The sequence below is a fragment of the Homo sapiens genome, chromosome 8 (assembly GCF_000001405.40).
Source record: "Homo sapiens chromosome 8, GRCh38.p14 Primary Assembly".
Taxonomy (NCBI): Eukaryota; Metazoa; Chordata; class Mammalia; order Primates; family Hominidae; genus Homo; species Homo sapiens.
Genome location: NC_000008.11, coordinates 93,348,761 through 93,370,623, shown reverse-complemented (window position 1 = coordinate 93,370,623; position 21,863 = coordinate 93,348,761). Strand labels below are relative to the sequence as shown.

General features: G+C 39.7%; 1 long non-coding RNA gene across 1 annotated transcript in view, besides 1 other annotated feature; it reads left to right on the top strand.

Moving 5' to 3' along the window:
- The window catches only part of CIBAR1-DT (CIBAR1 divergent transcript), a 353,967-nt gene that overhangs the window by 329,810 nt on the left and 2,294 nt on the right, over positions 1-21,863 (top strand). The window contains exon 10 of the long non-coding RNA NR_033858.1: positions 8,046-8,104. This is a non-coding gene — a long non-coding RNA (CIBAR1 divergent transcript). The remainder of the gene's footprint in view (positions 1-8,045; positions 8,105-21,863) is intronic.
- Positions 9,169-9,463: an enhancer, noted in NCBI's record as "tiled region #13407; HepG2 Activating non-DNase unmatched - State 12:CtcfO". NCBI's record gives its function as "activates a minimal TATA promoter and a strong SV40 promoter by Sharpr-MPRA in HepG2 cells {active_cell/tissue: HepG2}" and the evidence as "EXISTENCE:reporter gene assay evidence [ECO:0000049][PMID:27701403]".

Genomic DNA, 21,863 nt, shown 5'->3' with positions numbered 1-21,863 from the left:
ATCTACAAATATTCCAGAAAAAGGTCCATGCTCAGTGGGAGGCAGTATGGTATCTTGGAAACAGCACAGCTCTGATGAGCTGTGTGGCCTTGGGCAAGTTGGAAAACCTATACAAACCTCAGTGATGTTTCTCATCTGTAAAATGCAGACAGTACCCACCTTATGGGGTTATTGTAGTAAGTACACATAAGAAATGCTTTCAGCAAGTACCTGTTATAAGAGTTCTGTAAGAGGTAGCCAATATCTTAAGACATAAAACATTCAGTGAAGTGAGTCGAGAGTTTACCAGATGCTTCAATTTTAGTGGAAGAAGTAACTTCTGCCGTCTCGTGGTTAAAGGGATGATGGTGACCATGACTCGAGTTCACATTTACTGAAACACTCACTCTGTGCCACCATTTATCCCTAAGAGCGCCCTATACAGCAAGTAGCTTTTACCATTTCCATTGTACAGTTGGGGAAATTGAGGTATAAAGAAAGAGGAGGTAAGTAACAGGGGTTTAAAGTGGCAGAGACTGGATCCAAACCAGTATGCACCTGACATTGACGTCTGTGCTCTGGAGGTTTGGATGACCCCCAGCACTCGTCAGGGCCAGGCCAGCCATGTCCCCTGGCAAGCCTGTCCACACAGTCCACCTGGAAGCTCTGGGTCACACCCCGCAATGATGTCACTTCCATGCCCCCCTCTTTTATCCTGACCCAGTTTTATTCATAGTGTCTTTGCTCTCTGCTCTTTGTACCTGCACACAAAGAGCAAAGATGCTTCTGAAGTCTCAAAAAATGACATTTCCCTATGTTTCTTTTTCCCCCAACATGGTTACCGTTCTGCGTGTTGAACTCTCCTTTCCCATTCTGCACTTGTCTTGATGACATCTCAGTCCAATTCCACAAGTTTCTAGTCCCCTTCAGTGATTAACACAATTTCATCTTAGTAATTAAGATTAAGTCATGCTGATTTCTAAGCTTTGGTTTTTGATTTGATTCAAAGCTCTCTTCTCTCAGGGCAGAAGAGAGTTCCCAGCATGGGTCTACAGCAGAGTGGGGGTTGTCTGCTCTCTTGCTCTCCCTTCCCTCTTCTCTACAGTGAAGCTATTGGGGTTTGAAAAGGAAGGAGGAAGAGGAAAGCAGCCTGGCATTTTGTCTGTCTGTGATGAGGTTCTTTTTCTGCAGCACAGTAGATAGGAATTGTGATGGTTAATTTTGTCAATTTGGTTAGATTATGTTGACCAGCTGTTTGATTTAACACTAGTCTAGATGTTGCTGTAAAGGTATTTTAAAGATGTCATTAATGTTTACAATCAGTTGACTTTAAGGAAAGTAGATTGCCCTCCATAATGTGGGTGGCCTCATCCAATCAGTTGAAGACCTTAGGAACAAAGACTGGGATTTCCCAAAGAAGGAATCCTGCCTCCAGATGGCAATATAGACATTCTGCCCAAGTTTCAAGTCTTTACGTTTGGGACTGCAACATTAACTCTTACCTGAATCTCCAGCCTGCTGGCTTGCCCTACAGAGTTAGTTGGACAGCCCCAACAATTGTATGTGCCAGTTTTTAAAAATCTCTCTCTTTCTACACACACACACACACACACACACACACACACAGAGTCTTCTGTATTTGTGTATTCTGTGTTACAGCTTCAACCAAAAATTGAGATCAAAAATATTCAGGAGAAAAACATTCCGCAAAGTTTTAAATTTGCCACGTGGTGAGTACTATGTTTAATCCACATGAAAGAAGTGATGTATAGGCATCATATTAGGTACTATAAGTAATATAGATGATTTAAAGTATATGGAAGGATGTGTGTAGGTTATATACAAATACTATACCATTATATATAAGGGACTTGAGCACTGGTGGACTTTGGTATCTGTGGCAGGCAAGAGTGTGTCTTGGAACCAATGTCCCATGGGTACCGAGGAATGACTCTGTATCCCCTTGGTTCGGTTTCTCTGGAGAACTCCGACTCACACAGTGCTGATCCCTCAAATGGGGCATGTATACTCAGGGGAGGTGCAAGATACTCCACTGGGATGCTGCAAGAAAACATGAGAACTTCTGCCTATAGGTTTGTGTTAATCCAAAGAAATAAAAACAATTCAGCTTCATTAATGTTTACTATGCATATAGACACCAGCATCTCCCCTGGATCCATGTGTCAGCTGGTCATGTTTAATGTACAAGGCCTGAAGATTCAGGGTCTAGGAGGGGAGTTTCACAAAGTACAGGATTTGCCTGCAATGCTCTTCCACAGTCACTGGCTTTTTGTGTATTCAGACACTTTGCAATTTACCCTTGGAGAGTTAAATGTATTTATAGATAATATGATCTAATTTTAGAAAAATCAGTCTTGATACAATGGACAAATAATTTCAGATGATCTTTGCAAGGAATCCAGGCTTGGAGTAGATGTTAATAATGTAATCACAAATGAACAAAGGATACAGCAGAGATTTCTTGTGCATCCTGTATAAGAGCTTCTTCCTCTCTATGTTATGGGAATGACAGAAAATCTGAGACACTCCAATTAGAGATAACCAAAAGGCAGCCAAAAGGTTTTTCTAATTATCAAGAGACTCTTAGAAACAGGGGTTTGCATTCATCCCATACCTTAGCTTAAGTTTACTTTACTGTCTAGTCCCTTTTTATACCTGCTGAGATAAACCATTGAAAAAGCATTTCCTGATCCAATTCTGTTGCCTGCTTCCTTTATTCCCTGATATTATATGAATAGATGTAGGGAGGGAAGGATGATTTCAAAGTTTTATAATCCTAGGTGAACGGGTGAGTTGCGATGTGGAAAGTTGGGAACTTAATTGTGGGTGGTGTTGCTTTTTGGACAAGCTACATCTGAGGTCAGAAGACATTTAAGAATGAACTGAATAATACACACATACACATACACACACACAATAGTACATATTGAGGTATATACTTAAAGAAAGAGTCTATTTTGAAGAATGTGAAAAAATGAATTTGTAAGCTCAAATTTCTATAAAGTGTACTGCCATAGTATGTTAAAGCAATGTGCTATATTACACTTTTTAAAATACAGATATTAACTCTTGAGCACATTTATAAATAATAATGCATTGTGAGGGAAAAGTGTTGGTTCCAAAGTGGTGGTGCTTAACAAAGTGCAAGATTATGGTGTTTAATTGTACGTTTTGCAAACAAAGCATTTTTTAATTAAAATGTTTGTTGCTTGTATATACAATTTACAAATCTGATTTTTTTCAAGATGCTTTCCCACTGGAGGTATGTGGACTGGTGAGAGTATAAAATGATAATGCCGTTGTCAGCTCAGAGTGGAGAGAAACCAGAGGACTCTTGGGAGAATCACTGTATCTAAGCAAAGTTAGATGCATTTCATGACCCTGCAAAATCTGAGCCCATTATAAAGAGACACCTTGAGGCTGAGATCAAGTCCTTGTTTTCTTTTGCCTTTGGCCTTTCCATGCCTTTGCTTCTCCACTGCCAACCCTCCTCTTCCTACAACACATACATCTACAGTCTCCTGTGAAACTGGACAGCAAGCCGATAGAAATGAGTCAAGTCAACCTCAGCTGAGGGCTTTTGGACCTATGAGAGTTAACTAGTCTGAGTTCATCTTACTCATTGAGCCTGGTCAAAATTCCCTAAATGCCATATGGCAGCAGTGAGAGTCCAGTGTGGAGCCTGTGTATTCCCTGAAAGAATGAATTGTGCAGATCTAGTTTTTTAAAAAAATAAAAAGAACAAGAAAGAAAACATCCCAAATCACACAGTAGTATGAGGCAAAATATCTGATTACAGAGTCTAAAACTGCTTTGTGTGTGTAATTTTTGAGAAGAAAAAAATTACAAGCCAGCAGCAATGAAGTGCTTAGTGCAAGATTTCAGTTTTCAACCTTGCAGCTATTACATTTCAATCTAAGCAGAAGGAAGATTCTGCTGATCCTAAGCTAACGAATGTCAAGAAGGAAATGGCTGCTTTCTTCTTTTAGCAGGTGGTTATTGTTTTAAAAATGAAGAGCCTTAAACCTGGCTGGAATCCAAGGCATGTCACATAATCTTGATCTGGAGATCTGCAGTGAGACTCCCCAACCCCCGAATATTTGATTAGAGCATATGAAAATCGTCCTATGTTCTTGGCATGGGCTGAACCAGGAATGACAATGTAGATTATGATGTTCTTATATAATCAAAGGTTATTATTACTATTTTTTCCCCAAAGGAAGTAAAACTTGTTTAGTCAGGGGATCTGATGCTGCTTGGTATGGCAGATAATTTCTGCCTATATACAATAAGGAAATAAACAATGAATGGAGCAGTTCATGACATTTTATAAATATAATTTAGATTTCTTGAAAAATTAATAACAATGCTAACACTGAAATATGTAGTCATTCAAAGAACTATCAGCAGTTTTCTTTATTGACCCCAATTTCTAAGGACTATCATAACTGACCATAAGCCCTGAATCAGAAAATTAGATTTTTGATAAAATATATAGCAAACCCATTTAGAAATTGTGTACTAGCTAAAATATGAAAGAGATGCATGTTCTTACTATACAACTAGTTGATGAGGAATTTCAACATTTTATCTACTATGTGTCTGAAGCAGCATCTGGAGAAGTAAAAATCGCAGTAATCTTAAATGCCAAAGTTCAAGGCTCGGCAGAAAACAGCCCCATCCTCTTGCTAATATCCCTGGTTTGTCCCATAGATCTGGCTGTTCAGAGTAAATGCTCTAACCCCGTTCCAAATATAGTTAAAATAATGCTAGGCAAGGCTTCTCTTAGCATAGTGATAAAGACACACAGGAGGCACAAATTTATCAAGAAAATGACATTGCTGTGAGTTAACACAATGAAAAAATGGAATTGTATGTAGCTAATATAACTTGTCATCAACAGAGAATTACTGTGTATCTACAGAGTAAATCTGGGGGTGTGGGCACTTCACACATATCACATGCACGGTTTGAATAACAACCAGAAACATGTTTATATCTCAAAGTTGTCAGTTTAAAAAAAATGCAGGTGAAATCTTTCCTATTTAGCTCTAGAGGTAGTTAAAGTATTAAATTAAAAGTGCTTCTTGCTCATAAGAATGAAAAGGGGGGAAGGGATGGAAACGCAATGCAGACAAGAACCAGTTTTGCCTGGAGATAGAAATGTATGCGATGCCTCAGAACAGACAATAGAAAACTAATGAGGTAAAAAGTCTGGCATGATTGTGATCTGATTTTCACAGATTAAACTAATGTCAATGAGGAGAAAAGAAGAATGAATGAGCCTAAATGGCTTTGAGACACCTGCAAATAATTGTATTCCCAGCGATAGATTATATGGGCATTGTTTTATACAGCGTTTTACAACAGAAGGAATGGAATGGGGATTTGGAGAGAGGTGGTATTCTTTTCCTCCAGCTTCTTCTTGTCCAAACATGTCCCTCCCTTAACCCCCTCTCTCCGTGCATGTCCCAGGAAGGGGCTGCCCGCTGATACCCTCTGCCTTTTAAAATTTTACAATTCTATTGATAAGAAAATAAAATCACTGAAGCTGGAAGCTGTACCCCAATCTTTAGAAAGAAACATTCTTAGTGCTAGCATTTTATAGCACGTTATCTGTACAGTATATGTATGGGTTGCAATTCTTGGCAGAGTTCTAGGGGCTATTTTGGATTCATTCGCTTTATTTTCTCTACTTTGGGCCCTTGATCAAATATTCCTGGTCACATATTTTACTCAGAATTCAAGTGAGGTCCTCTGTAACCAATTGAAATTTTTGACTGACAGCCCTGTATGAGAGAACATGCTCCGAGTCCTATGGGTAACACCTGTGAAACAATATAAACAGTTCTCTGAGCACTAGATAAGGATGGGGGAGAGGTTAAATCTATACAACTAGGCTTATGACCTGAAATCTTTTGTTACCATTTGGAAAACAATAAAAATAAAATGGTTATCATTGCAAGACCATTATACTTTTTGTACTCTCTGGAAATTAATTACTAATGTGGTAGATATGCACTGAAAACTTTATTTCAGAGTTTAACCATACTCAATTATGTGTCTGATTAGCTTAATATGACTTCATTTTACCAGAGAACAGTTTGAACTACAAAGAAAATACAATCTGATTTTAAAAGAGGTAACACAATTCAAAGCAGGGTAACAAATTCATGTTGACTTTTCTATGAGTCTTTTTTTTTAAAAAAAACACAGAAACAAGTTTATTGAGCTATAATTTACATATAGTAAAATTCCCACTTTTAAATATGAGCCCTGACAAACACAGGCATTCAGGTAACCACCGGCATAATAAAAATGTAACATAGTCTCATACCTGCAAAAATGTCTTCAGGCCCCTTTGTATCCAATCCTCTCCCTCACCTCCAGCCCCTTGCAGCTGCTCATCTGTTTCCTATCCTATAATTCTATAGTTTTCCCTTTTCTAGAATGTCGTGAAAATGATATCATATGTATAAGCTTTCTGAGCCTAGCTTTTTTCATTTAGTATAATGTATTTGAGATTCATCTACATTGCTGTGTGTGACAGTTTATTTCTCTTTATTACTAAATAGTATTTCATATAGTTCTAGTTTTTAAAAAGGAACACATCTGCTATATGGTTCTTCTATTTTGGTTATGATGGAGCCAAGGGCAGACAAAGCCTATGTCTGGTGGCCCTGGGCCCTCTCTGCAATTTCTCCCATGAAAAACACCTGGACAATAGGTTTTAGTGTGGGAGAAACCAAACCAAATAAGCATGGTGACGCTATGTATGGACTGTGTTCTCACTGCATTTGGGGGCAATTCTGATGAGAGAAGAGTGTCTAGAGCTGAGTTAGATACTTAACTAACGTACTAATGTTAGCAGTGATAGATTTAAAAAAAAACTTTTCTGCAAATACGCCACTCAACATTTATTGTTTTTCTGAAAGAAATCAACGCAAAGAACCATTTAGAAGGTTAGGGAAGATCTTTAGAGATGATTAAACTTGATGACTGAGATATTATTTTTCAAACTAATAGTGCACGCACTTATCTAGCACTGTCTAATATTGAAAGAATTTCCCACATGTGCTATCTCATTTAATTCTCATAGTGATCCCATGAGGTCAGCAGGGCAGATGTTATTACCCATAATTTACAGATGAAAAAACTGAGAGTCCAAGGACACAGTGGCCTAGTCAAGATCCAGCAGTCCAGAATTGTCAGTGCCTGCTCAAAAGCCTGAGACTTCTGACTCCCAACCTAGTGAAAACTGACAGGACCAAATTCTGATTAATGAATTTAAGCAGCAGTAAATATTGTCAGAGTTTAGTATTTGGGATTGTAATAGCTAAACTGATAAAAAAATTCAGCCATGAGTCTCTTGTTAATTCATAAAAATTGGAATTTTTAAAAGGATACAATTTCACCATGTTATTAGGTTAAGCACTTCTAACACAAACAAGCAAACAGTGATGTATTGTAAGTTAGACCATTTTGGAATTTGTGCAATTTGAATGGTTGAGTTATTTTATGTTAGGGAAGTGACTGCACAATATTCATTAGCTAATTTTCATGATTTAAAAAAAACCACACATTGGGCCAAATTACACTTTCAGAGATGCCCTCAGAATTTTGATTAACATAATAGGTCCAACTTCGATTCTTTATTTAGTACTTCTTTTTGATTCAAGAAGGTGTTGAGAATTCTAACTCCCCCTTTTGTAAGGTAAAAAAAAATCAGTTTTTGCAGGCTGAATTATATACCCATTGTCCAACAGTGAATTGTAGAAGAGTTCATCATAGTTGTGGGTTTCGTGAACGTGAAGTTCTTGCCCTAATAGTGGTGCCAATTGGTAAAACTGGTCATATCCACATTTGTCCCAATGAATGGCTTAGTTATGCTATCTTCCCTAGTCCCCTACCTCTTCTCTTTTGGATTTGTGGAGGTCTGAGAATTATGGAAAGAACAAGGATCTGCGTATATTAAATGAGTTTTTAAAATATCCTAAAAATATTGTAATAAAACTGAAATGTTATTATTTATATTTATATGGCAGCATGTCCCAGCAAAGCTTCGCAAAGATGTCAGTATTAATTGTCACCATCCTCCAGGGAGGTAAGTAATGGTATTTCTAAGCCAACTGGTTTATTTAAATTTAGTTCCTATATGCATATGATTTTTATGTAAATGAGCTCCATGATAAAAGCAACCCTACATAACAATAGCCTAATCTGTGTCATTCTGATGGCCTGCTGGTTTCAAGAATTGAGCGTAAATATATGGAACCTAAACAAATTGCATTCTAGGGTTAGAATCTCCCAGAAAAATAGACTTACCTTTAGCATCTGAGAGCTATTATCACTTGTCTTGTGGATCTATGGTTTAAGAAAAAATATATTAGCAGGAGCTAGGGAGTATTCAGTGCTTAACATAAGCAGCTGTTAATTGTAAAATGGCAGTCATTTATATTTTCCTAAAAATGTTCATATGGCTTTCAAAGAATTTTTAGGAAGACATTAAATCCTTTTCATCTATGCATCTGATATCTACGCTTGCTACCTTCTCCCCACTAAAGAATGCCTGTTCTCCCTTCAGAGCCCTATCCAGGCTCATAAAACCGATAAAATATCTTTTTGGAGGAAGCCAAAATGTATTTGAAGGAATTAGGGCTGACTTGGGAGATGCGATGCTGGTGTTATAGCAAATTAGTCCTGTTAAATATGAGTGGGATGAGTGTTCTGTAGATTGTTTTGCAGTAAAATATATGGTCATGTGTATACATGTATACGAAGGCAGTACACTTACAAAGAAAGCTGCTTGCATGTATCAGCACGTGTTTAATCAAAGTAATATTGTGACAAAAATAAAAGCTTGGCCAAGAACAATAGGTTTTTCTGTAGAAGCTGTAGACGCCACTACAGTGTAAGATATATTTCTCGCATTCAAGCCTGTCTTTTATTTTGTTTACACAACAAAGTTATTATGCTAATTACATAGTAATATGCTGCCCCTGAGGAGTTTCTACACTGATAGCATCTACTTGAGGATGCAGATTTGGAGCCAATATGTGATTATTATGATTTCAAAATGATATGATCAGATTGACAGTTTTGCCTTCTAAAAGGGAGTTCTCTCTGGCTCTTTACTGCTGGGTGTGGAGTTTAACAATGAATGGTAGAAAACATTCAGGAGAGTTTGGGCAATTTTTGTTCATGTTATTTTGAAAGAAGGTGGAGTGGACAATATTTTGGACAAACGAGTCAAATCTGTGTGTGTGTGTGTGTGTGTGTGTACGAGCAGACGTGCATGTATGGAGGAGCTCACACTAATACTTGTGCAACTTCACTAGGGGGAGCTCTTGGCTGGCTGTTCAGCAGCTTGACCATTGTCTGTAGGAGACAATTTTTCTTTGTTTGAAAATTTACAAATCATCAATGAAAATGCCACAGATATGGCAGAAGTTTTGGGGTTAAGTCACTGGTTCCCAGTTCTGCCTTCAGGTGGGATTGGGAGTGATGATGTGTTTTTCCCCATGGTCCCATTGCCCGGCAATGATTTTTCCCACATCCTCATAATTTAACAGATTTCAGAGCTACTGTAAATATTTCTTTTCACCCAGAGATAGGGCTTCTCTGCAGCCCGTTCCCTCTGAAAGGCTCTCCACTGACGCTTGATGGTTAACAGTGAAAAAGTATACATTTCAAAAGCCCAGAACTGAGATCAATTAATTAAACGATGATAGACGTATGATTGCCATAAATGATATTGCAATGCTGATTTAAAAATGGAAAACTTTGTGATTATAAATACACTTGATTAAAAGAGTTATTGGGGGAAAATGATCAACTGAAAAGACAGAGAAATTATTTGAAAATCTTTATAATGTAATCACGTTGGAAAAGAAAAGAGAATATGCCAACTTTAAGAGAATGGTGACACTGGTTTGGACAATTTTAGGTTTTATTGTCCTTATTCTCTAAATGTTCTCTCCCTATCCCTCACTTAGGTGTGTGTGTGTGTGTGTGTGTGTGTGTGTGTATGTCTTTTTAAATTGGAGGAAAAAAATAAAGCTAAGTGCTTCTTTCCCTACCATGTTCCTTTCCTTTTTTCTCCACTCTAATGACATTTGGCAGGCTCGGCTGTGTAATGCTTGACTGGTTTTATTGTTGTCTGTTCCCAGTGGGGAATAGTTGACACTGCTCTCTGTTTTCAATTGATATCCATTTTCAACAATATTGCTTTCTATTAGATTCCTGCACAGTTTGTGCCAAGCAAACTGAATATTTACTGGGCTGACCTCAAAGCCTTCAAATCAACAAACACTAGAATAAGCAAAATATGCATTTTTAAGATAAAATGTTTTCAAATGCTGTTTTCAAAATTATTATTTTTAAATGCACTGTGAGCTGCAGATTAAAGAATATTATATTGCCACTTCTGTCAGCCCAATTTTATTTATTTATTTCCTTACATTAAATAATGGGATTAAACATTGAAAGAATAGTTGTATACATTACCTGGAAAAGGTTAAAAGCAATTCAATTTTTTCATATATAACAATCTCTTCTAGGCAATCAAGCATTTTTTTTTTTGCTTATTACTTTTTAACATAGGCATAGTTAATAATATTCTATTGAGCAGAGCAACTGAATCTGATAAACCAGAAGACAGGAAACCATTTCAAGGCTTCCTGAGTGTCAGGGGGCTCTGTGTTGGAATTAAGGGGTAAAAAATTGAATTTAGCCATAAAGAAAACCAAATAGCAAGTGAGTTACATGAGTTTTTCTAACATCTTTCCTTCAATTTGCTAAGCAAAGTTTTCGGAGTCTTAATTGTACACCCTACCTACATCTGGCTGCAGCTGGCACATAGGGAAGAAATATGCTTTATTTTTGGAGATAATCAAGAAAAAGATTAAAAAAGAAAAGGATTGGTTTTATGACGAGCACCTCACAAGCTATTGCAATACAGCCAACTATGTTTAGTTACTTTAAAAAAGGCTTGTCCTTCTTTTACACTAAAGTTGAAACAACCCATAATAGAAAGGATGTGTCTGCATTAAGTGTTTTGGTTAGGTTGGGGTAACTATTGGTAACTCAAGCAAAGAAGCCCGCACAGGGAGGTGGGAGTTGACTCTTATGAGGGCGGTGTTAAGAAATGTTATGGCCAGAATATATGTTTGTGAATGGTATTTAGACCACTAAAGCCACCATGTTACAGAAGATAAAACCATTTTATGAAACTCCAGCGAGTCACAGGGAAAGGGCATGAACCCAGTTTTCTATTTTAAAAGGCTCTCCCTCCCTCGTTTTTTTTTTCTTCCTTTGTTCTATAAATATTTATTGAGTATCCAGATCAGCAACCTCATTTTTTTCAAGGCAGAGACTAATTTCTCTGTTCCATTTCTTGTGCCTACATTACCTGCCAGCTACCTGATGCCAAGCACTGTCCATATGCATCATTGACTCCTCACAACAACCACATCCTCTGAACCTGTTATTTTACCACCTCTCAAGTATGTGTGTATTGCATTTGAAACACACTGGAGTCTTTAATGCTCATTTGCCATTTGAGGTCTCTTACCCAGAAAATGTGGCCAAGTAGAGATTGCCCAGGCCTGGCAAAGAGTGGCCTGGGTCTGATATGCCAGTGGTTCTGGGGAAATCCCTTACTCAGCTTCATTTTTCACCATCTGTGTTTCAGTTTTTCTATTTGTAAACCAGCCATAATTAAAACTGCCCAGTGTGCCTTTCACAGGCATGTTGGGAGGATTAGCAAGAGGCTGCAAACTTTCCTGAGCTCTTTGACAGAGAGGTGCTATAAGAAATTCAAGGCAGGAGTCTTGCATGCAAGATGTTGGATGCATTTACATTTAAACTTCCATTTTTCTAAATTAACTATGGCATTCTTTGGCTTGGACACAGAGCACAATTAGTCAGATGGGTCTCAATAAAAAATATAATTTTCATGGATTCTAGGAACGCCTGGAAGCTCATGGGCAGTATGGAACTAGCATAATAGATTGACGTGGTGCTGGGTGTCCTGGATGGATGCAACAAATTTGGGTTCCAATCAAACACCGTCACTAACTAGCTGTGTCAACCTTGGCAAGCAACTTACCTCCCTCTGCTTTCCCACTTGCAAAAGCAATGCACTTTCTGACTGCCTCAAAGGATTGTAAAGGGAATAAACTAAGGAATGTGAGAAAATATTTGAAATGATACCATGCATTATTTGTATGTAATATGTGCTATTGGTGGTTTTTGAAAATGGGATGAGATAGTCCCACACTTTCCTCTTTGGCTAATTGCAGTTGCATTAAAAAAGGCATTACAGATTATTTAAAGAGGAAAGAACTCCACTTTTCTCATCGCTCCTTATGTGTCTTTCTTGTCATTAAATATCCTCCTGATTGAGGACTGACACAACTATAAGACTGCAATTTCTCACAGAGCTTTGTCCCCAGAAGTACCCTCAGATGAAAGCTGAGTTTCAACTCTTATGAAAAATGTACATGACATGATCTGAGAGTGTTTTATGAACCTAGTCCAGGAATTTGCAGGTAAAATATGTGGTGTGCTGGCTACACAAATGATTTTCCTTGTGTCCCTCGTACCGTCTTAACATTCTCACATCTATGACTATCTTTCCCAAGTGGTATCAGGATTCAGTTATGCTTTACTTGATTCTTTTCCAAATGTGAATGATTGTTAATCACAGCAGTGAACACACAAATGACAAAAAAAAGAGAATATAAATTTTATTGAGATCTGTTACTTTGGTGAATATAATTCACATTGGATTAGTAAGGTGAAATTTCTATTTTCTCTCCATGAGTTTCAGGCCACCCTTAAAAGTAGACTTGAAGCCAGGACACATGGGAAGGTTGATGTCTCAAGGTACCTAGGATCATCTTGGTGATGGATACTGTAGGTGTGAGGGTATAAGTTATTGCAAGGATGTAAGGACAAAAGAAAGGTATTAGGCAAGGAAATAAAGAGTGGAAGAAATCACAGTATGTTCCCTTAATTCCATTTAGGTAAAATTTAGGTTAAAATGAATCCCTCTACCCTAGAATGGGAGAAACGACAAAAACATTAAGAAAAAGGTAGGCTAAGATAAAGTGGGCCGGGCGCAGTGGCTCACGCCTATAATCCCAGCACTTTGGGAGGCCGAGGCGGGCGGATCATGAGGTCAGGAGATTAAGACCATCCTGGCTAACACAGTGAACCCCGTCTTGACTAAAAATACAAAAAATTAGCCGGGTGCGGTGGCGGGCGCCTGTAGTCCCAGCTACTTGGAAGGCTGAGGCAGGAGAATGGCATGAACCCAGGAGGCGGAGCTTGCAGTGAGCCAAGATAGTGCCACTGCAGTCCGGCCTGGGCGAAAGAGCAAGACTCTGTCTCAAAAAAAAAAAAAAAAAAAAAAGAAAGTTGAAGGGGAGAGGAGAGAGGCAATTATATCCTGCTCCTCTCCCCTTCCTCCTCATATGCCATGGTCTTCTATTATTCCAGTTTGCTAAAGTGTAGGGATGAATCCAAGGCATAGAGGCTTATTTTCATGTCATGCCTTGGTAGGGTTTAGAGTCCCAGATATCCATTGAAAATATTCAGGACCTGACAAAGCATCCGCAGCTGGAGTATGGTAGGATGTGATAGAGTGCTTTGGAACCCAGAGAGGAAAGACTAGAGGGTAGAAGTAGCAAGAGATGAAGGCAGTGGGTGTGGAGATGGCATTGGGGGTCTCAGGATGAAGACGGAGACTGTAGTGGTGGCAGGGATTAGAGCAGAAGTCAGGCGGGGGAGGAAATTGGCACAGGAAGAAGGAACATGAAGCTGGCCTGGTGTACTCACTCAGTTGTCATGCCAACTAAGGTGTCAGAAGATCAGGTACTTCATCTCTAAAAAGAGAATTTAAAAAAGGGTGATCTTTAGAAAAGTTGGAAGTAACAATTGGGATAGGGTATGTAAAGCATTTTGTCCAAATCATCCAATAATGTGCAAACATAAAGCTTGCTTAGGATCGACTGTGAATTTGGTACAACTATAAGAACAACAAGAACAGTCTGAAAGAGTTTTAGGAGTGAAGTTATGGCATCCCACCCTGTCCTCAGCGATCAGGATTATCTGTGGGCAGCTTGCTGTGCATGTCCAGGCTGCTGGATCCATCTCAGCATCCCCTTGGCAGATGCTGGCTGTGCACTGAGCCCCCAGTTAGTGAGGAGAGGGGAACTGTGACAACCTAACTCATGCAGAAAGCTGCTTAGGAATGGAGGTTTTGAGACCAGACCTCACAACCTTGGCCTCAGGAAGCATTCCAGCAGAGGACACTACCCAGGAAGCGTCTTGAGCAGAAAGAAGCAGACTTTAAAAAGTCCTCACAAATGAAGAAAATATCATCAGTTCAGACACAGATTCTTTAAAGGCATAGTTCAGTGTCTGCAGTTGGCTGGATTTTATAAAATGAAGAAAATCAAACCAGAGAGGCCTGTTTGTGAAGTTGAGGTGTGATTGTATTTTTAGTTTTCTTAACTAAATAAATCCATCAGTTGACAAAGATCAGAGTGTAGTGGATTAGACAGGGAAGGTATGATTGAAGACATGAAGGCAGGGTCAACTTGAGACACATTGATCACGGTCTCATTAGGCCTGGAACAGAAACAAAAATGAATTTGAAATGTGAGGATGGGGAGGGGAAGGATAGAACGGGGACTAAAGGGAAATATTGGTATATTTTCCAACAGTGCGATTCATAACACATGGATGATCTCAGACGCGGAGATACAATTCATCTCTTAAATTCCTGACAGACTCTGAGCCAGGGTAAAGTGTTTCTATCAACCCATCTTTCTCTTTCTCATTGTCTTTCTTAGTAAAGTGCCCTGAAATAAATTTCGTAGCATCGAAAAGGGATTCTACTCCTGAGAACTATTTTTAATGTTGTAAGACTGAAAAATATATTCCAAGGAAAGTCCAAGTAAGATGCTGGGAGAGAGACCAGTAAGAGCCCAGGCCATTGTTACTGTTGATAGGTCACTTCTCTGATTTAGATAGTAGGAAACATATATTAGCAATAAAAGAGATCTATAAAAGAGCCGATTGCGTATTTCATTAAATTGGTAGTGAAGCTGATCATAAAATTTAATATTAGGAGGAAGTGGAATAATTGGAGCAGAATTAAAGTAACTGTTATTAAAAACTTAAATTTAGTCTTCAAAGCCCCTCACCAGCTACCTTGCTGTCCCTCATCTAACTCCTTCATTTCTTTCTTTCTTTCTTTCTTTTTTGAGATGGAGTCTCACTCTGTCACCCAGGCTGGAGTGCAGTGGCACCATCTTGGCTCACTACCTCTGCCTCCCGGGTTCAAGCAATTCTCCTGCCTCAGCCTCCTGAGTAGCTGGGGTTACAGGCGTGCACTACCATGCCCAGCTAATTTTTGTATTTTTAGTAGAGACAGGGTTTCACCATGTTGGCCAGGCTGGTCTCGAACTCCTGACCTCGTGATCTGCCCACCTTGGCCTCCCAAAGTGCTGGGATTACATGCATGAGCCACCATGCCCATCCCATTACTTTTCATTTGCTTAAAAAATTTCTATATTCCTCAGGTTAATTTTCCTTCTCTACATACAGCTTCTTTTCTTTGCCCAGGCTGTTTTCTTCACCTTCCTTCTCCTATCTCTTTTATCCCATTCCAGTTACATCCTTCACAAACCGGTGGAAAGCTTTCTTCAGCAGTTTCCCTTGAGTAACCCCTTCTGGGATTCAAGGGAGCCCCAGGATGAACACTTCTCTCTCCCATCTGAGTTCTGATGCATTTGAGAAATCCACAGAAGTAGGACAGATGAAGGTCAAAGGATGATCTTTATTCTGATATGACTGATGCTGGAGAAAGTGGCAAGTGAGATGTGAAATGTATAATCCAGAATCAGAAAGGCATGTCCATCTCTTCACAGGCAGAGCTGCCCCCAGCAAGAACCTGGCCCTGCCAAACCTAGAGTGGAGTGTGTGTTTTTGTTGAGCAGGTGGCTCCCTCCCAAGAGAAGGAGGAAGTGACAGAGCTATGCAGATCCACTTCCACATCCCAGACTCATCAATTAAGAAGGAGGTTGTGGGTGGAGAGAGGCTAGGAGGGTTTTGCAAGTGGGCATCCCCTACATGGAAAAACAAGAAACTTCTGGAGTGGGGTAAGTACTATGTCTCCAAATGCACCCCCATTTAAAAATTTTTCTTCAGGGGCTTCTTCTATGATGTCATATTTTCACATACTTTGATTCAGTGGGATTCAGTCAGGGAAGCAGAGCCATTAAGCATAATAAGGGATAAGGGGTTTATTACAGATATTAGACCTTACACAACTGTGGAAGGAGCTGGAGATGTGGAATCTCAGGGGAGGAGCTGAGGGTCAGAGAAGAGTCACTACCTCTCCATCCTGAAGCACGAGGATACCTCACAGCCTGAGGAGGAAGTCTGAGAAGCCAGGAGATGTCAGCTGCCACAATGGGACCATAACTGGGAAGCTGTTGCCCCTGAGTAGCTCCTGTCTTCATGGTTCTGTCATTAAGCTTCTGGTGGTAGACTCAGGGCTGCTGTGGTCAGCAGTAGCTTGAGCAGTGGCCACCAGCCAAGGAGAAGGACTGGACCAAGGCAGAGGAGAATGAGGACAAGCTAGGACCCTCCTGGCACCTCTGATCAGTCTGTCAGCTCATCTAGTGTGAAAAGCATTGAGAGTCATGGATGCTGCTTCTTTTTCATCTCCTTGGCTAACTCTAGCCTGGAATTATATAGGGGAGGGGATTCTAGCAAAAGGGTAAACACGTTGATGATAAAACAATGCAATACAGTCAGCACCTTGATAACTTGGCATCCGTATACACCTCTTCTAACCATATTTAACTTCAAAATAACGATAAAAGTCTTGCTTCTGCTTAATGTGATACAATTAAAAACACTCTAACTCACTCCCTAAAAGAGCATTTGAGTTTTCATATGTCAATTTACTCACTGGGGAATGTTCATTCCTCCTCTAGCTCAACATATCCACCCCCTGATATCTTGTAACTTAAATGCTGATATATAATGTTAGCAACTATGGACACATCTTACATCAGATAGTAGGAGAATCAGAGAGGAGAAAAAAAGAAAATATATATTTATATCAAAGTAAGAAAGAAATACTAGTAAGTACTACTGTCCTTTTTTCTGCAAGTAGTCACATGGTCTTAGATGGTATTTAGAACTTCCTTCTTCCAGTAGCCATTCCATATCCCTTTGCTCAAGCAAGCACCTCAACTCTTCACAGTTCCTAGCCTGGTGGCAGGAAGGGGACCTAAGCCTTCACTCCTAAAGGTCTGTGCTATCAGCAGCCCCCACCTATGCTGGGTTACTGTAGTTTTCTATTTACTTTTATCAAAAAGCATGGGAGTATTAAAAGGCCTCTATCCTCATTATGCAGTAATGTGGTATAATAAGAAAAGTATTTGGTCTTTGTCCTCAGTTTATGGCACAGAGCTCCTGAAACCTTTGAAATTTCCTGAGTCATAAAGGTGATAGGAACATCTTTTGTTCTCATGTGGTGACACATCTTGGCAGGCCCCTAGATAGCTGCAGGATGGGGGTTGATTGCCAGATGAACTAACCATGTGATTACAGGGTTGGAACTTTCAGCCCACCCCCAACCTCTGGGGATGGACGGCAAAGGGGTTATAGACAGAGATCATCAATGGCCGATGATTTAATCAATTCTGCCTACATAATGAAACCTCCATAAAAATCCCTCAATGACAGTGTTCTGAGAGCTTCTGGGTTGATGAACACATCCATGTAAAAGGAGGATGGCACACTCCAACTTTGAGGGATAGAGGTTGCTGCATGCGGGACCCTTTCAGACCTCACCCTATGTACCTCATCTGGTTGTTCATTTGTATCTCTTATAATAAACTATAATTGTAAGTATAACATTTTCCTGAGTTCTGTGAGTTGTTCTAGCAAGTTATTGAATCTAAGAGGGGGGCTATGGGAACCTGTGACTTTGCAGCCAAGTTGGACAGATGTGTGGGTAACCTGGGGACCCGGTACTTGTGACTGGAGTTTGAAGTGAAGGAAATTTTGTGGCAGTGTGGAGTTCCTTAAACTTGTGGAGTGTGACAGCTCACTGTGGATAGTTAGAGACAGAATTGAGAATTGCATTGAATTTTAGAGCGGAGGAAAAAAACTCTCTAGGGGCAAACCAATTCCTCTCGGTAGAATTAATCACCCCAACCAATGCAGTAACTCTTTCTTCAACTCTTGGTTTTCTGGCATGAAGAGTTCATGTGTCTACATGTCCCTCTCAGCTTCCAGTTTAATGAAATCATTATCTTTTGTGTGCTCCTGGAAGCATTCCTTTATAACAACAAAACTAAATCAGCAGAGCCCAAAGTTGTGAGGATAGGATGCAAACATTCACTAGTCAATGATTAGGGGAAATATGAGAGGAGCCATTCTATTTCCATCCCTTGATTCTCAGGTTCTGAATCCTATCCATGTGGAAAATGATACAATAACCACTAATTTGGAACCTCCACTGCATCCTGGAGGATATCACACCCACTCTGCAAAGTATGGGCACCCAGCTGGCACCATCACTGAGTCTTCAAAGGCCCTTTACCAAGCCAGCTGCTTCAGTGAGATGAGGACCACGGCAAGCCCAGTAAATTTCATGAGCATAAGCCCATGACCCTCTTTACTTATTTCCTTGGTTGATAGCAATACTGTGTAAAGCACTGTGATTGCAAATGAGGCATTCTGTGTTCACGATGGTGGTTTTTGAATAAGTATTATGGGAGTGGAAGGCAGATCCATATCCAGAATAAGGGTCTGTTCCAGAGAGAGCAGAGTGCTGTCTTTCTGTGACATGGACATGGACTAATGTAATCAACCTGGCAGATTTCCCAGGAAATGCGCCATATCAGGGACTCAGTGTTGGTCTTTTTGCTGACTGGTTGCATATTTGGCAATGATTATAACCAGAGAAGCCAAGTCAGTGTGTGGTTGGGCCCAATACAAATTGTTGACCCATAGAACTATGAGGAAATAAGTGTTTAAGCCACTAATTTTTGATGTAGTTTGTTGGGCAGCAAAAGCTAACTAAAACAGAAATTGGTACTTAGAAGGGGGATGCTGCTATAACAGAAACCTAAAACATGTGGCACTGGTTTTGGAGCAAAACAATTGGAAAAATATTGCATGTGGTCACTTGGAAGATAGAACATTTATCTAATAAACTTGTGGATCTAGTTAAGAAAATTTCCAGGCATATTGTTAATAATGTATAGGCCGAAGGAGATGAACTAAATAAAGAACTGTTTCATTTGCAAACAGAAAGTAGAAACAAGATAGAGGGCTCAGGACCTTCTAAATTAGAAAATAAACTTGTTTTTCATTTCAGTCTCTCCAGTTTGCAAAAGATTCTTCTAAAATCTAATTAAGGGAGTGACTTTAAGACTCTTGCAAAGACCTCAGAAGGATTTGTGGTTGTTCCTAGTATATTATATCAACTCAACAAAATAACTTCTAAAGATCTTGAGGGCATTAACTCACAACATTGTGATATACTGCCTGAAGAAGAAAGAATGCTGCATTAAAAAGAATTGTGTGTGTTTCCTTTGTCTATTGAAATGGATGACTCCCTGATACATAGAAAACCCACAAGGTATTAAAGGGGGCTATATAAGCTTGCATTAAGAGACTAAGACAGAATTTCTTAGGGCAGGAGTTAGGATGAGGAAAGCTATTCATCTGTAAACAAGGGCTATTTCTGATGGTCATATGCACATGACTGTATTCCTGAATTGCTGTGGACCTATGGCTCCTATGTGCTCCCCATTTCTCCTTTTTGAATGGGGTGTCTATTATGATTATCCTCTTGCCATCTCACCATTGTATGTTGGGTATGGGAGAGGATGGAGACAAACTTGTCTGTTTGGTTCATAGATTTCTGGATTAAGAGGAGCCACATGCAAGGAGCTGTAATAGAAGGTCCTCATCCACACCTGGACCAAATGCACTTCCTGAGATCCTGGACTTTCAGTTTGATGATACAATTGGATGAGACTTTTGGGCGGTCTTGGGATGGGGTGAATTCACCTGGCATATGGGAGAAATAGAAATAATTATAGCTAATGGGTGACCGTAGTAGATTAAATATGACCACATATTCTTTACAGCTTGACCCATTAAAAGGCGGGTGTAGGTTTCTCCATTTTTTGAATTATAGCTGCCTCATGACTTGGTTTGACCAACAGAATGTGGCAGAAGTGATGATACTCAAGCTGTGAACCTAAGCCACTAGAGGCCTTGCAGCCTCTGCCCTTGTCCACTCTGTGAATAAGCCAGCCCACTTCTTCCAATGAGGAGAAAGATCCAGCCACCCCAGACTTGCTAGCTGTCCCAGCTGAGGCACCAGATATAGGAGTGAGCTCAGTAGACACTATGTAGGGTAAGGATGAGATGTCTAAGCTGAGCCCAACCCAAACTGCCAACCACAGAATCATAATTGAATACATGATTATTTTAAGCCATAAAGTTTTGGGTGGTTTTGTTACCTAGCAAAATCTAGTTAAGACTCACCTACATTTTGCACATCTTTCACATATAGGTCTTCTATCTCTCTACTGACATTGTAAAAACCTTGAGGGAGGCGACCGAATTTTATAATTTTTGTGACTTCTGCAACACTTAGTACAGGACTGGGTACAGAACATTGCTTTATGAATGCTTTTGGTGTGCCTAAGGTTCTCCTTCCGCTGTTTGAAAATACAGAGTTTGAAAAGTAAAAGAATGTCAGAAGAAAAAGTTTAGGTTAGCTTGGGCTTATCATAGTATCTTGTTTACCCTCACCCTTCCCTGAATTTTTTTTTTAACTAGGAAAGAAGTTTGGTCTTCAGGATCAGAGATAACCAGATTTAAATATTTTTTTCTCTGTTAAACTCTCAGTGGGTGGTAAATAAGTGCCCATTGCCCAGGCTCAGTGGCTCATGCCTGTAATCCCAGCATTTGGGAAGCTTAGGCAGGCAGATCACTTGAGGCCAGGAGTTTGAGACCAGCCTGGCCAATCTGGTGAAACCTTGTCTTTACTAAAAATACAAAAAAATTAGCTGGGCATGGTGGCTCATGCCTGTAATCCCAGCTACCCAGGAGGCTGAGGCATGAATCGTTTGAACCCGGGAGGTGGAGGTTTCAGTGAACCGAGATTGCACCACTGCACTCCAGCATGGGCAACAGAGTGAGACTCCATCTCGGAAAAAAAAAAAAAAGGCCTATTACTTAAAAAAGTAAAAATTATTAATAATACATTATTGTTATATAAACATAATAGTAGTAATAATAGATAAAGTGAGAGCCAAAAGTTTTTTGAAGAGGGGAGTATTGGCTCCAATTCTGAATCTTTTAGCCAGTGCCGATGTCCATCACTGGATCTAATAACCAAATAACTAAAATAACCAGGTAAGTCAAAAGCACGCCAGTGAGAGAACAATGGCCTAGAATCATCTTGCTTCCTTCCTGATCTGATTCTGCTCTGCTCCTATTTTCTCCCAGATCCTGATCTCTGGTTTCATTTCCCATTTGCAACTGACTCCCTCCCTTTGAACTTGGCATTGCTACTAAGTTTTCCTGGCTTGGACCATTAGTAATCTGTACAAATACTGGCTTAGACTCACGTTTTGGGTCTTTCAGTCAGAGTTGCCTTAGATGGGATAACCTGCCCTAATTCAGCTCCTCAAAGACTGACCATCTATCCCAGATTTCTCCCAGTGAAGAGGAGTTCAGACTGCCAATAGTTTTCACAGACAAAATAATGGGGTAATGGTGAGGAGGGAATGAGACAGAACAGGGAG